This window comes from Homo sapiens, chromosome 12 (genome assembly GCF_000001405.40).
Source record: "Homo sapiens chromosome 12, GRCh38.p14 Primary Assembly".
Lineage (NCBI taxonomy): Eukaryota > Metazoa > Chordata > Mammalia > Primates > Hominidae > Homo > Homo sapiens.
In genome coordinates this window covers 107685608-107700879 of record NC_000012.12, presented here as the reverse complement: position 1 = coordinate 107700879, position 15272 = coordinate 107685608, and the positions used below count along the sequence as shown (strand labels likewise).

At 41.9% G+C, this 15272-nt stretch overlaps 1 protein-coding gene across 3 annotated transcripts in view, besides 2 other annotated features; it reads right to left on the bottom strand.

The window, feature by feature from the left end:
- The window catches only part of PWP1 (PWP1 homolog, endonuclein), a 27364-nt gene extending 12283 nt beyond the window's left edge, over window positions 1–15081 (bottom strand). The window contains exons 1-8 of one of the 3 annotated variants that reach the window (NM_001317963.2): window positions 14909–15081; window positions 12374–12432; window positions 12078–12265; window positions 7981–8066; window positions 7784–7908; window positions 4296–4406; window positions 3283–3413; window positions 1446–1507 (exon numbers count right to left, since the gene is read on the bottom strand). In NM_001317963.2, the coding sequence (NP_001304892.1) occupies window positions 1446–1507; window positions 3283–3390 (170 nt within the window). In that variant the 5' untranslated portion in view covers window positions 3391–3413; window positions 4296–4406; window positions 7784–7908; ... (2 more) ...; window positions 12374–12432; window positions 14909–15081. Of the gene's footprint in view, window positions 1–1445; window positions 1508–3282; window positions 3414–4295; window positions 4407–7783; window positions 7909–7980; window positions 8067–12077; window positions 12266–12373; window positions 12433–14742; window positions 14839–14908 lie in introns of those variants that run through there. The other 2 variants (NM_007062.3, NM_001317962.2) reach the window with 2 other exon arrangements.
- Window positions 14743–14792: an enhancer, noted in NCBI's record as "active region_6955". NCBI's record gives its function as "activates an Ori minimal core promoter by ATAC-STARR-seq in GM12878 lymphoblastoid cells {active_cell/tissue: GM12878}" and the evidence as "EXISTENCE:reporter gene assay evidence [ECO:0000049][PMID:35858748]".
- Window positions 15013–15272: an enhancer, noted in NCBI's record as "active region_6954". NCBI's record gives its function as "activates an Ori minimal core promoter by ATAC-STARR-seq in GM12878 lymphoblastoid cells {active_cell/tissue: GM12878}" and the evidence as "EXISTENCE:reporter gene assay evidence [ECO:0000049][PMID:35858748]".

The following is a 15272-nucleotide window of genomic DNA, read 5'->3' as shown; positions in this document are numbered from 1 at the left end:
CAATGATATACCACTTCATACCCATTAGGATGGCTATTATGAAAAACAGAAAATAACAAATTTTGGAGACACTAGAGCCCTTGTGTGCATTGTTGGTGAAAATGTAAAATGGTGCAGCCATTATGGAAAATAGTATGGTGGCTCCTCAAAAAATTAAAAATAGAATTACCATAAGATTCAGTAATAACGCTTCTGGGTACATACTCAAAACAACTGAAAGCAGGGACTTGAATATTTGTACACCCACATTCATAGCAGCATTATTCACAGTATCCAAAAGGCAGAAGAAGCAATCCAGGTGACCACACGTAAATGAACGGGTAACATACATTACATACAATGGAATATTATTTAGCCTTAAAAAGGAAGAAACTCTGACACTTATTGGAACATGACTGAACCTGAAGACATTAAGTCAAATAAGCCAGTTGCAAAGAAGTAAGTCTGTATGATTCCATTCATATGAGATGCTTAGTCAAATTCATGGAGACAGAAAGTGGAGTGGTGGTTGCCAGGGCTGGGGGTGGGGGAAATGGGGAGTCAGTGTTTAAAGGGCAGAGCTGCAGTACGGAGATGAAAATGTTCTGGAGATGCATTGTGGTGATGGTTGCACAACTCTGTGAATGTACTGAAAGCCACTGAACTGCACACTTAAAAATGGTAAAAATGGTGATAGGATTTGGCTATGTCCCCACCCAAATCTCATCTTGAATTGTAGCTCCCATAATTCCCATGTGTTGTGGGAAGGACCAGGTGGAAGGTAATGGAATCATGGGGACAGGTCTTTCCTGTGCTGTTCTCATGATAGTGAATGGGTCTCACAAGATCTGACGGTTTTATAAAGGAGAGTTCCTCTGCACATGCCCTTTCTCCTGCCTGCCACTATATAAGACATGACTTTGCTCCTCATTTGCTTTCTGCCATAACTGTGAGGCCTCCCCAGCCATACAGAACTGTGAATCAATTAAACCTCTTTCCTTTACATATTACCCAGCCTCGAGTATGTCTACATTAGCAGCATGAAGACAGACTAATACAAGTGTTAACTTTTATGTTATATGTATTTTGCCATAATTTAAAGAAAAAAGAATAAAAGAGTATGTGGTGAGATGTGAAAACTAAACAGAGAAAAATGTCTCCTGGGAAGAAACACAATCCTACTGCACCATGGGCACTGCCAAACACCCTGTTTTTTTCCAGTGGTGGTGGAGAGAGGGCACTTGGTCACCAAACATGCAATGAGCACCCACAGTGATGAGCTGGCAGGTGACCTGGAGGATGCAAAGAAACAGATGACAGAGCTCCTGCCTGCAAGCAGGGCATCCTACAAGAAAGGAAGATAGACACAAAGGTCCACAGCACAAATAAAGAGATGAGTGTAGGCATGAGGTAAGATCACAATGGCTACAGTCTTTTACAATCATTCAAATGTTATTTCTTTTTACCTGATTAGCTTATTCCATGAAAGGTCAAGGACAGCATCGGTATGCCCTTCTGCTGAGGAACTCTGTAATAATTGTTTTAATTATTTTTTGTATTAAAGTCCCCCTCATAATAAAACTGAATATATTAATCTGCAAAATTCTTTAAACCTTAAGATTATTTTGTTTTGTTTTGTTTTGAGACGGAGTCTTTGTCTGTTGCCCTGGCTAGAGTGCAGTTGCACGATCTCAGCTCACTGCAACCTCCACCTCCTGGATTCAAGCGATTCTCCTGCCTCAGCCTCTCAAGTAGCTGGGATTACACGCGCATGCCACCATGCCCAGCTAATTTTTATATTTTTTGTGGAGACAGGGTTTTGCCACGTTGGCCAGGGTGGTCAGGAACTCCTGACCTCATGATCCACTCTCGGCCTCCCAAAGTGTTGGGATTACAGGTGTGAGCTACTGCACCCGACCTATTGTTTTGATATTATATAAACTTTTGAAGAATAAAATAAATAAAACCTTGTCTCCCTGTTAGAGACTCATGATTAATTTCATTACAGGGGCTGGGTGCAGCGGCCCACACTGTAATCCCAGGACCTTGGGAAGCTAACGTGGGAACATCGCTTGAGGCCGGGAGTTCGAGACCAGCCCAGGCAACATAGCGAAACTCTGTCTTTACAAAAAAGTCAAAACTTAGCCAGGCATGGCAGCATACGCCTATAGTCCCAGCTACTCAGGAAGCTGAGGCAGGAGAATCCCAGGATCTCTTGAGCCTAGGCGTTTCAGGCTGCAGTGAACTATAATCGTGCCACTGCACTCCAGTCTTGGGAGACAGAGCAAGACCTTACCTCTTTAAAAAAGAAAAATAAAGAAAAAAATTTCATTACAAGGAACAGGGAAGAAACTATAGTAGTTTATTTTTTTAGAGACAAAATCTCGCTCTGTCACCCAGGTTGGAGTGCAGTGGCACACAATCATGGCTCACTGCAACCTCAACCTCCTGGGCTCAAGCACTCCTCCCACCTTGGCCTCCCAAAGTGCTAGGACTATAGGCGTGAGCTACTATGACTGGCCTAGCAGTTCTTTTTTTTCCCTTGAGACAGAGTCTCGCTCTGTCACACAGGCTGGAGTGCAGTGGTGTGAGCTCACTGCAACCTCTGCCTCCCAGGTTCAAGTGATTCTCCTGCCTCAGCCTCCCAAGTAGCTGGGATTACAGGAACACACCAACATGCCTGGCTAATTTTTGTATATTTAGTAGAGACAGGGTTTCACCATGTTGGCCAGGCTGGTCTCGAACTCCTGACCTCAGGTGATCCACCCGCCTCAGCCTCCTAAACTGCTGGGATTACAGGAGTGAGCCACGTGCGTGGCCTGGCCTAGCAGTTCTTAATCTAGGTACTGTAATTATACAAGTATCAATATAGCTCCCAACCCTCATAAAACCTAACGATTTTAAAAGCTGCAGGAGTTAATACATGGATAATTAGAATTCAACATGATAACAGAAATTTTTTTAAAGTTCAAGGTTGGTATATCTGTATAAATAGCTACTGTATTTGGAGGAGGCTCATAATCCGAAAGTCCTTCATCTATAGTAGCTATTCATATTAATATACTAGCTTTGAACTAGTTTTGTGTAAGAAAGAACAACATGATAATGGAGGTTTTATGTAATCAGAAATAAGTTTTCTTTGGATGGCCTTTTCAAAACTAAAAATTACAATAATTTCATAACTACCTACCCCATCTCACCAAGAATACCTGATTGAAAAAGTGTACGGTCTTACCCTTCACCCCTACTCCCGAGTAAACTTACCTCTGTCATTAGAGTTTAAATATTTATTAACTTCTTTACCTTCTTTCCTTTCTTTTTCTTCTTTTTTGAAAGTTTACTTCCGAGTGTGAAGACTGGCTCTAAAGAGTCCACTATATCAAGGTCCCACACTTCAATAACAGGGGTCATGTTTCCTACAGCAATGTAATTTCCTATGGGAGGAAACAATGCATGTATGATTACACAAAAAAAGACATACAGAACTTCTAATCAAATACATTATACTGTAGATTAACTGAAAAATGCTTTAGAGCAGTGCTTCTCAAACTTATATGCATATGCGGCATCTGAATGTTACAAATGCAGATTGTATTTCAGGTGGTTCTGGGTGGGCATTTCTAACTAGGTCACAGGTGATAACCATGCTGTGCTGCTGCTGGTCTTTGGGCCACAATTTGAGTAGGAAAGGCTCAATCTCTTGGCCCCAGTGTTTTCATTTATATAACGAGAATAACCCTCCTCCCGTCCTCCTTCATGGGGTGCTGTGGGGATGAAGATCAGATCAGATCATGAATGTGAACAAGGTGTGCAAACAAGACGTAAGACAGTATAAACAGTGTTTACCTTTATTAAAAAGTACGGACAGGGGCAACTAATAGTGTGCAGATGTGGTTACAAAGACTAACATGAAAACCTAATTACTTGTGACAAGCCTCTTCATTTCGGTTTTAGCTTATGTTTTCTAAAACAGGTTATGCCACTGAACTCTAGCTGGTAACATCTCACATATCAGGCCATTTATACTGAGTCTTTATGGGACCTTTACAGTTCTACAGTCCAAAAGGCTTCAGGCCCTGTCCTTCAGCCTGTAGTAGAGCAGCTACCTCCTTAGCCTACCTGAAGTCTGGGGATTTATGAACCCCAAACAATAAAGTGATGGTGTGTTAAGAACTCTATAACTTCATAAAATAACAGTAACTTCAGAAAATATCAGCAACAATTCTGAAAACATTCAAGAGAATACATAATTTATGGAGCTAGGAGAAAATACATAAGACTGGAAATCATTGAACAACCTTAAGTTTTCTAATTACCAGTAGAATCATCTGGGCTAGGATCAAAATTCAGCCATTCCACACTCAGAGGATATGCAGACAAGAGTATATCATGGTGTACATAAAAAGAGTCTTCTTCTTGATTATAAACTGAAAAGATTGGGAAAAGAGACTTTAATGTATCAGAATGAGTCATCAAAAATCACATCCCGCTCAAAAAAACAAATTCTATTAAATGTACGTGAGCCATGTGCTTTAAAGTGAGACATCTGATATTATAAAGAGATTCCAGGCTGGGCGCAGTGGCTCGTGCCTGTAATCCCAATACTTTGGGAGGCCAAGGTGGGCGGATCACTTGAGGTCAGGAGTTCGAGACCAGCCTGGCCAACACAATGAAACCTCGTCTCTACTCAAAATACAAAAATTAGCTGGGTGTGGTGGTACGTGCCTGTAGTCCCAGCTACTAGGGAGGCTGAGGCAGGAGAATAGCTTGAACCTGGGAGGTGGAGGTTGCAGTGAGCTGAGATCGCACCACTGCACTCCAGCCTGGGCGACATAGTGAGACTCTATCTCAAAAAAAAAAAAAAAAAAAAAGATTCCAATATCATGACTAGGCAAAAATTCTGCATGTCTAATACAGTGCCATCTTGTGGCATACCCCACAGGAGAAAATGAACACTGACATCTGATAGTCCACCTGCATCCTTGTCAGATAAATGGTCCTGTCTTCTAGGTCATTCATAGAAAACAAATGTTCATAAGTTCATAATGTTCATAACTACAAGAAGTAGTTATTATTTTATCTTTTAATGGTCTAGCTGATTATAAGTCAAAAAGAACAAACCAAAAATAGCATGGGAGAGAAATAATTCATATTTGGAAATCTAAATGCTTATCAAAAATTACTCTTAATATTTTTAAAAAAGGTTTATGAAGATGAACAATGTAAACAAAGCTCCTGAGGACATACTTTTGGAATATGGCAACAGCTCCTTAATATTCACAGCTGTAATGTTAAGCAGCAAAAACATTGTAAAATCAATGAGTAAGAAGTCTTTTAAAAATTACACAGTGAAACACTGATAAAACAGAACCCACTAGTCAGAACCCCTCCCCATATGCTTTGTATTAAGAAGGAGGTAAATATATAATAAATTAAGGATTTTATTTTTAATTCCTCAGATTGCTGCTTCTGGAATAGATCCTGGGATTAGCAGATTTGTGTAATGCTCTATCACATCCCTGTGATGAGAATTCATGTTCAAAATTATTAGACTGTGGTTCTACAAAAACCTCAACCATGTTCGATATACTCAGCTTACATTTTACATAAAATTGGTAATAACTTTTTTTTTTTTGAGATGGAGTCTTGCTCTGTCGCCCAGGCTGGAGTGCAGTGACACGATCTCAGCCCACTGCAAGCCCTGCCTCCCAGGTTCACGCCATTCTCCTGCCTCAGCCTCCCGAGTAGCTGGGACTACAGGCGCCCGCCACCACGCCTGGCTGATTTTTTTTTTTTTTTTTGTATTTTTAGTAGAGACTGGGTTTTACCGTGTTAGCCAGGATGGTCTCGATCTCCTGAACTCGTGATCCGCCCGCCTTGGCCTCCCAAATTGCTGGGATTACAAGCATGAGTCACTACGCCCAGCAACTGGTAATAATACTTTAAAATATACTCTTAACCACGTGAGATCAATATTCGGATCAGTTTTAGAATATAAATTTGAAGTTATTCTTGCACACACATACTGGGCAATTTGGAGATTCCTTCCAAACCCAAATAATAAAGTATATCTATAATAACCTAACTGAGAAGGAAATGGAAATATAACAGCTTTAACTTCTTTCTCAGCTCCTCTTTGATCCTGAGTTCAAAGGAATGACTGTTAAGTTCTCAGGTAAGAATGCATAAAAAAATCGATGATGACAAAAAAAACTCTAATAGGTTCTCAATTTTTTGAAATTAGAATTGGTCTTAAAAGCAAAGTAAACAAATGGTTTTCATTTGAAATATGTAAAAGTTCAAAGATATCAAGAGTTAGAAAGAATAATTTCACATTAAAGTGCCTGCTATGCATAAACAGATCACAATGAGCCATGAGATAAAATGGGCCTAATCTATAGGCTTCCCACGGACAGCCTTAAAGATTCTGAAGAGGTAACAGAAATCCAAGCTAATCAATGGAAGCCATGATGAAGCAACCTAGAAGATGGCGATAAACATTAAGCCTAAGGGTTTTATTTTTTCAAGCTGTGCAACTGTGTTTCCTATAACAAAAGGACTTATCAGCCTAATAATCTCTTCGAATCTTCAAAGTTTCAAGACGATCTGAAGACTGCTGGGGGAGGAGAGTATCGGGCAAGGATGGACTTGTCTGAGGATATGAGCGCAGTGGAAGGGACAAGAAAAACAAAACGGAGAATCTGTAGGCAGAGTGCGCCAGACATTGTGCAAGTCTACTTTTAGCATATAAAAAACAGATTTTACATTAAAAACACCAAAGTGAGGCAAGCCATTCAATTAATATTAAATCAAAAACAACATTTAAAAATACAATTTAAAAATTCCTATTTTCATGCCTACTTCTGATTACTGCAAAGCATCCGCTTCTGGCTTTGATACAAATATTCCTTAAGTAAGAAAGGTGATCACGATGTTTTGGTTCCAAAAAAGAAACGTGGCCCTTTGTGTTGAATTATTAGGAAGAAAATAAAATGTTTTGCAAAGGGGAAATATCTGAAATAACTCTATTTAAAAAACATGAGAAAAACCTGTCTATCCAGTATAATCCACATAAAGAAAAAGTAGCCAGAAAAAAAAATTGAGTAAAAAACCAAGGTGGCAAGTTATTAACTCAGGGAAATGGGATTATACATTTTTTTCTCCCCTAGAGATGGGGTCTTTGTCACCCAGGCTGGAGTACAGTGGAGCAAACAGAATCACAGCTCACTGTAGCCTAGAACTCATGGGCTCGAGCAATCCTCCCACCTCAGCCTCCCAAAGTACTGGGATTACAGGTGTGAGACACCGCACCCAGCCTTGTATTTTTATATATAATTTTACTTCCAGGTTTTTTATAGCAGGAGTAGGAGAGGAGTGAAAAACAGGCAATCACATTTAAATAAAAGATTAAAAACCTCTATGAGGCCAGGTGTGGTGGCTCACACCTGTAATCCAGCACCCAGCACTTTGGGAGGCCAAATCAGGATTACGTCAGCCCAGGAGTTCGAGACAGCCTGGGCAACACAGTGAGACCCTGTTTATATATAAAAACAAAAAAAAACACCCCTATGAAAAATTTCCAGGGGATTTATTTCCATAGAAAATTCAGATACCAAAGTGATGTACTGGACTACACATACCCAGAACAATAACCAAGAAATTGGCCACCTGTGTAAAAGTTAACTATGTAACCAACTTAAATGAGATACAATAGGATCTGGCACCTAAAAATGAAATGGTAACTATTTCACTTATTATTTTACCATCACTTAGAAAATCTTTTAATAAGGGATTTATCACTTACCATGCACCTCTAAATTGCACTGGTCCTGTTCAGCTCGGCCACAAACTATAAGATTATCACTGGGCTTAATCAAGAAATCTTCACGTTCATATTGTTCCTAAGTGAGAGGAAAAAAATGTCATTGACTAGAAGCAGAGAGCCAGTAAGGTTTTTTGAACACTTAAGAGCATAATTAGAAAAAAGATGTAAATACTTACTGTATCTTTCAGAGTAACGTAAGGATCTTGATCATTACTCCCGTAGACCGTAAGACCCAAGAGAGATTCACCAAGAGTCTCAGCATCTGTAAGAAAAATTGACAAACTACAATAATAAAATAGTCATCTTGACAAAAACATATTTCCTATGACATCCATTCTTGGACTTAGATGCAATCATCTATTTTATAACTAACTCTGGATCATCTAGAGTTGGGAAAGGAAACTACGTAAGCAGCAGCAGGAATTTAAAAGCCATTTTTGTATTTGACCTTTGGAATGGATTTCAGACAGTCTTGGAATTCACAATCTTCCAATGAAAGAACTGTATCAGGGAATTAGACCCTTTTAGAAAATATGAGAACTCTCTTGAGATTCTCTAGCTAGCTCCCTGCATTCATGATTGAAGGTGATACGGAGAGGCAGCCTTGAGGACCTGGAAATAAAATGACCCTGAAACACTGAAATCAACATAATAAATAAGGGTTGCCTGGTCAAATAAAATTGAGAAATGACAGGTTTCAAAAAATTAACCAGGTTGCTCTACTGCACGTGTTCTGATATGCTAATATGCCTTATTGGCATATGAAAAAAGAAATGCAGTATGCTTTTTCCACTGAACTTAAATTATTCTTTTATGGCACATCTACGATGGTAACAAAGGATAACTCAGGAAAAGGAAGATACACTGAATTGTTAGAGGAAGCCACTTTAAGGAGGCAGGACTGATAGGTCTTAAACATCTGATATGCAACAGAGAAAGCAATTTCTGCTACACGAGAAAGAGCTGATTCTGAATGCCATCTCTCCAGGCTGGGTTATTTGTTTCTCTGTATTTCTATGGCACTCTGTCCCTAACAAGGTTGGAGCCCATAACCCAGAGTCCAATAGAAAAAACTATCCTCTGCTGGACTGTATCTATAGAAAAGATGCAGTGAAAAGAATGAAGGCTTTAGAGCCCGAGAGTGGTCAAAACTCAGCACCGTCTTTCACCAGCTGTGTGCCGCTGGTAAATGGAGGTAATGATTCCTTTCTAAGTACTGCAGATAATGAAAAATGAAGTTAATAGTAATCCATAGGACAGATGGCCAAGCGAATGAGGAAAACGGAGGAATGAACATCTAGATGGAAAAATGGATAAATGACAATAAAAATCAATTCAGATGGAGTGAGGAAATCAGGGTTACTTCTTGTCTGAAAGAAAAGAGGTACACCAGCGATAATAAGATGGAAACCAGACGTACCAATTCTGGAAGAGAGTTCATCCACTAGGATGATGCTAAACTCCCAGCTACCTCTGCAATCCCTTTCTTCCATGTCCTCCTCCTCATTCCTAGTGCCCCAAGCCAGGCCCTCATTGCTTCTGGCCTAATTTATCTTAAGTTTCTGCTCCTCTAAGAGATTCACCCTATCTGCCAACCTGTTCTCCACTGTTGCCAGAGTTAACTTCCTAAAGTGTATGTTCCATTATTATGTGTTCCATGCTCAAAAACCTTTAATGATTTCCTCTCGCACAGAGAACACACAGATTGCTAAGCCTGGTATTCTAAGTTTACTGGGACCCAATTAAGTCTTTCTTCCAGACTTCCCAGCAACTGCCCATCCACCTTCTCTGTGCTTCACTCATGCAGATCAACTTGCCGAGCATTTCCCCTCCTTTGGGTCTTTTTCCAGGCTGTATCATCACATACATCAGGTCAAGCTCAATATTGCTCTGGCACTAAAGGCTTCCTATAGTTTGTCACATTCCACTGAATCTTCCTCTTACTTGGCTCAGTTCTGCCTCCACAATGTTATCTACTGTGCTCAAACATGCCCTGCCTGAGGCATCCAGGACAAGACAGCTAATTGACTTTGGTCAATCCCATCTCTACCCAGAGCCTACTTACTCATTTCTCATTGCCTGTCTGTTGTTTACTGATCTTCCTGTGCCCAACACAGACCATGTCTCATGTCCTATTCTTTCCACACTCCAACTACACTGCTCTTCCAGATACCCCACAGTGCTCACCATCAACCCGTACATGTCTGATTTTTTTTTAAATGTTGTATTATAGAAATTTTGAAAAATGAACACAAGTGGAGAGGGCATCACGAACCTTGAATTACCTTGCTTTAACAGTTAACACTATTTCCTCAATGTCATTTTCGACTCTCCCTCTCCCCATTGCTGGAGTTTTTCAGGCCGAGGCAGGCGGATCATGAGGTCAGGAGATTGAGACCATCCCGGCCAACATGGTGAAACCCTGTCTCTACTAAAAACACGAAAATTAGCTGGGCGTGGTGGCATGTGCCTGTAATCCCAGCATTCGGGAGGCTAAGGCAGGAAAATTGCTTGAATTAGGGAGTCAGAGGCTGCAGTGAGCCGAGATTGCACTACAGCACTCTAGCCTGGGCAACAGAGCAAGACTCCGTCTCACACACACAAAAAAAAGTATATTATTTTACTCAGCATTTCAACGATATTCTAACAGATACTGATATTTTTAAGTGCCTGATTATAACTTTTTTAAACTTTTTTATTATTTAGACATGGTGTCTGTCATCCAGGATGGAATACAGTGTGATCATAGTTCACTGCAGCCTTGAACTCCTGGGCTTGAGCGATCCTGCTGCCTCAGCCTCCCAAGTAGCTGGGATTAGACATGAGCCACCACGCTCAGCTCTGCTATGTCTTATGTAATATTTTAACCATCAATTTAACAGGTAGTTGTGATTTTACTTTGTTGCAGATAACATTTGTATTAAGAGTTAATTTTTGTTTCCGATCATCTACATTTTGATTTTATAACTTGGGAGTAGCTGATTCTAGCTGTCAGGAGTCCCTTCAGCTCCCAAATATGCAGACTAACTGGGATTTACAAGTTAAGTAAATAACTTACTTAACCTGCTCAGTGTGCCAAATGCCTATTTCTCAAACCCCAAGATTAGGAGTTAGTGCCACCTAGGGTAGCACATTCCAAAAGAAACAAAGCGAGCTTTGTCAGCTCCTTTTCCATTTATCGTTATACCTACTTTCCCCAGAAGAGCAATATAGGTAGTTGTCATCTCAGCTCACTTTATTCCCCACGAGGCTTTCTATACAAACTTCTACTTCTAATCTGTCTTCTGTTCTATTTCCTTTTTCTCTTCCCACCCATGATTTTTTCTTTTTGAGATGGAGTCCCACTGTGTCACCCAGGCTGGAGTGCAGTGGCACGATCTTGGCTCACTGCAACCTCCGCCTCCCAGGTTCAAGTGATTCTCCTGCCTCAGCCTCCTGAGTAGCTGGGATTACAGATGTGCGCCACCACGCCTGGCTAAGTTTTGTATTTTTAGTAGAGACAGGGTTTCGCCATGTTGGCCCGGCTGGTCTCGAACTCCTGACCTCAAGTGATCCACCTGCCTCGGCCTCCCAAAGTGCTGGGATTACAGGCGTGAGTCACGTGCACCTGGCCTCTTTTTCTAATTATCTCCAAGAACAGCATCTCAAAATGCAGGCAGTAGTCCCCCCTTATCCACGGGGGATACATTCCAAGACCCTCAGTGGTGGTCTAAAACCACAGATAGTACCAAACCTTATATACATTATGTTTTTCCTATATGTACCTAGGAATCAAATAATGATAATATACTGTAATAAAAGTTATGTGAAAGTCATCTCTCCCAAAGTACTGTACTTTACTCACTTATTTTCAGACTGCAGTTGACTGTGGCTAACTGAAACCGAAGAAAGCAAAACCGTGGATAAGGGGGGACTACTGTATTGTGAGAAGACTGACTGCAGTTGAGGAAAAGGTATATGGATATAAGTTCAAGCACACCATAGCATTATAACTGCATACAAAAACTCACAAGTGGGTTACAGATTATTAAACCTGATATATGCAATAAAATACACAGTACTTTTTTTTTTAGATCCTAGATTTGTATCTTAGTGGGTTAGAGTTTATCTTCTAAACTAGTTTAGGAATCATGCTGTCTGCCCAAGTCTTCAACCAGATTATCTTACTGATGTCAAGAACAATAAAATCTAAGAGTAAAGCTTTGGAACACCACAAACATGATCCAACATATTGAGCTTGTAATTACAAACCATCAGAAGTGGATAAACTAACCTGGGTCACCTTCCTCATCATATTTATCTAAGTCGTACTCAGCCAGCTCATCATCATCAAGCGTCCTGTCATCCTCTGGGTCACCATCCTCCAGGGGCTCTCTTGGGCGTGCCTGGGTGCGTGCACTCTGCATGCCATCTTCTGAAGGACTGCCTGTCTCCTCTTCATCACTGCCACCACCTTCTTCTCTATGAGCACAGAAAGAAAAAGAGAATCACCCAAATGCTACCTTCTAATAACAAGACCACATGGTCATCATCATTTAAGATATAGATTTCATCTGGTCCTAAACTTACTGCAATTTCTCCTTTGCCTCAGCAATGAGGCGTTTTACTTCTTCTTTACTCAGCTCTACCTGTAAGAGAGCAAAGATTTCATTACAATATGTGTAAGGAAATCATCAAATTATTTGAATTAAAAAGTAGTTTGCAAACAAATGTAAAATGTAACGCCAAGCAATGTCATCAAGATAAGAATCAAACATCAATCCAGACTCTATATTAAAAAATATAGATTTTATAGATTCTTACAAATAAGATCTCTCGCTACCTGAAACTTCAAAAATCATGCTCATTCTACTCCACCTCTTAGTCTTAAAACTCCAAAGACTGGTTTTGGTAAAGTGGCTGTGTGGTACTCGTCTGGTTTTCTTCCAACCATCTCTGACTCTGTCTAGGGCACCTCTCCCTCTCTTCCCTGTGGGCATTCCTTAACAAATCACCCTTACATGAGTCCTCTGTTCTTTTTTTTTTTTTTTTTTTTTTTTTTTTTTGAGACGGAGTCTCGCTCTGTTGCCCAGGCTGAAGAGCAATGGCGCCATCTCGGCTCACTGCAACCTCCACCTCCCGGGTTCAAGCGATTCTCCTGCCTTAGCCTCTTGAGCAGCTGGGATTACAGGCACGCGCCACCACGCCCAGCTAATTTTTGTATTTTGGTAGAGACTGGGTTTCACCATGTTGGCCGGGCTGGTCTGGAACTCCTGACCTCAAATGATCCACCTGCCTCGGGCTCCCAAAGTGCTGGGATTACAGGCGTGAGCCACCGTGCCCGGCCTTAATTTTAATTTTTAAGAGATGTGGCATGGTCACAGCTCCCTGCAGCTGTGAACTCCTGGGCTCATGCGATCCTCCCACCTCAGCTTCCTGAATGACTAGGATTACAGGCACGAGCCACCGCAACTGGCTTGTCCAATTTCTCTCATTTGGTCCAAGTTTTCCTTTCTAGGATTTCATAAATTCAATCTCTTTTTCCTATAAACTCTTCAAATAGTGGTTCCCAGACTTATCTGTACATCAGAATCACCTAGGGAATCTTAAATAATTTAGGCTACACTACAGGCTAATTACAACACAATACTTGGGAGTGGGACATAAACATCAGTATTTTTTGAACCTCCCCAAGTGTGAGATTTTCAATGTGTAGATTCATTTGGAAATCAGTCTTCAAGTATTTGAAAGGCTATATGTCTCTTTTTAATAACTGTTTCCTCCAACAATTTTTATATGAAATAATTTTCTGTCCCTATTCTATAAATGTAACACCGAGTGCCTACCATCAACCAAACCCTGGAGAAACAGTAAATAAAACAGTCTGTGCCCAGGTGGAATTTACAACTACTGGGACTACTCCAATCCGTCATTCCTGTTAACTCCATGTCCAAGCCAATCACATTCCTATCACCATCATCATTATCTTGGTCAAGTACATTCAAATCAACCCCTTTTACTGTTTGGTAGAACTTAACTCCCACTGACATACTATATGTGCACATGTCGACTCCATAAAGGCAGGGTCTTTTTCTATTTTTTTTTTTTTTTTTTTTTTTTTTTTTTTGAGACGGAGTCTCACTCTGTTGCCCGCCCAGGCTGGAGTGCAGCTGTGCGATCTCGGCTCACTGCAAGCTCCGCCTCCCGGGTTCACGCCATTCTCCTGCCTCAGCCTCCCGAGTAGCTGGGACTACAGGCATCCACCACCACACCCGGCTAATTTTTTGTATTTTTAGTAGAGACGGGGTTTCACCGTGTTAGCCAGGATGCTCTCGATCTCCTGACCTCGTGATCCGCCCGCCTTGGCCTCCCAAAGTGCTGGGATTACAGGCGTGAGCCACCGCGCCCGGCGGGACTTTTTCTATTTTGTTCATGCCTATCCCAGGACCCTGAACAATGCCTGGCCTACAGAAAGCACTTAGTATCCAATGAGGAAATTACTTAAGTAATCGTCACCTCTGCTACAGTCTCAGTCTCCAACTCTTGTAGGTTTTTCATGTGTTAGACATTTACCTCTCATCCTCCCTGCTACCATCAACATCTCACTTGGATTACTGCAAGAAATTCCCTATTCATCTCCCAGCCTCACGACATCTTAGCCTCCACACCAGTTTTTCTACACCACATTCATCCTCACTCCTTCAGACACGGAGCACAAGAGTGGAAAGTGGAGTTTTCATGCTCTCTTCCCAGTTATGCTTGAAAATGCACTTGGGTGCTAGTGAAGCTAGTGGTGTTGTCAAAAAGCCTTTTGGGGTATTACCCACCAAAAACAGCAGCCCACCCCTTTCCGGCCCGCTAAGTCCATGTGCGTGCGAATTTGGGAGTGGGGTTGGGCTTGAGGGTGGGAACAGTGAGAAGGCGCGGCCCTTGACTCTCCAGGCTCAGGCGAACCAGACCTTCTGAACTGCAGCTCTAGTCGCGACAATCCGGGCAAAGCCGCCCTCACCCCAGCCAGTCGCACCAGCCAACGCCCCGAGTTCCGGGTCCACGTTCCCCCAGCTGGGCGGACCCCCAGTGCCGTAAAGACGCTGCTCCCCTTGTCTCCCAGCGACCAGGCCTCACCTTGTCTGGTGTCTCTTTGGCCACGCCGCAGCGGACCCAGGCCACGCACGTCACCTGGCGGCTGCGGTTCATGGTCCTCAAGTCAAGGGCGTGTCACGCTAGAAACCAGGCTGCATAGGGAGGGACCACGACCGCACTGCTGCCACACGCTCAGGGATCTGCACAGGGCCGCTGCCAGGGCAGAGCGCATGCGCAGGCTCCTGTTTGGGCAGCGTCGGCGCTCATTTCAGACGTCATTCTGAGGCGCCGAATGAGAAATAGGAGGGGACAAAATGGAAGCGGAAGCAGCCGGGCGAGGAATCCACGTGGGCTGGTCTGGGCTGTGTGAAGTATAGAGAAAAGGCTTTTCAGGACTGCATGTGAC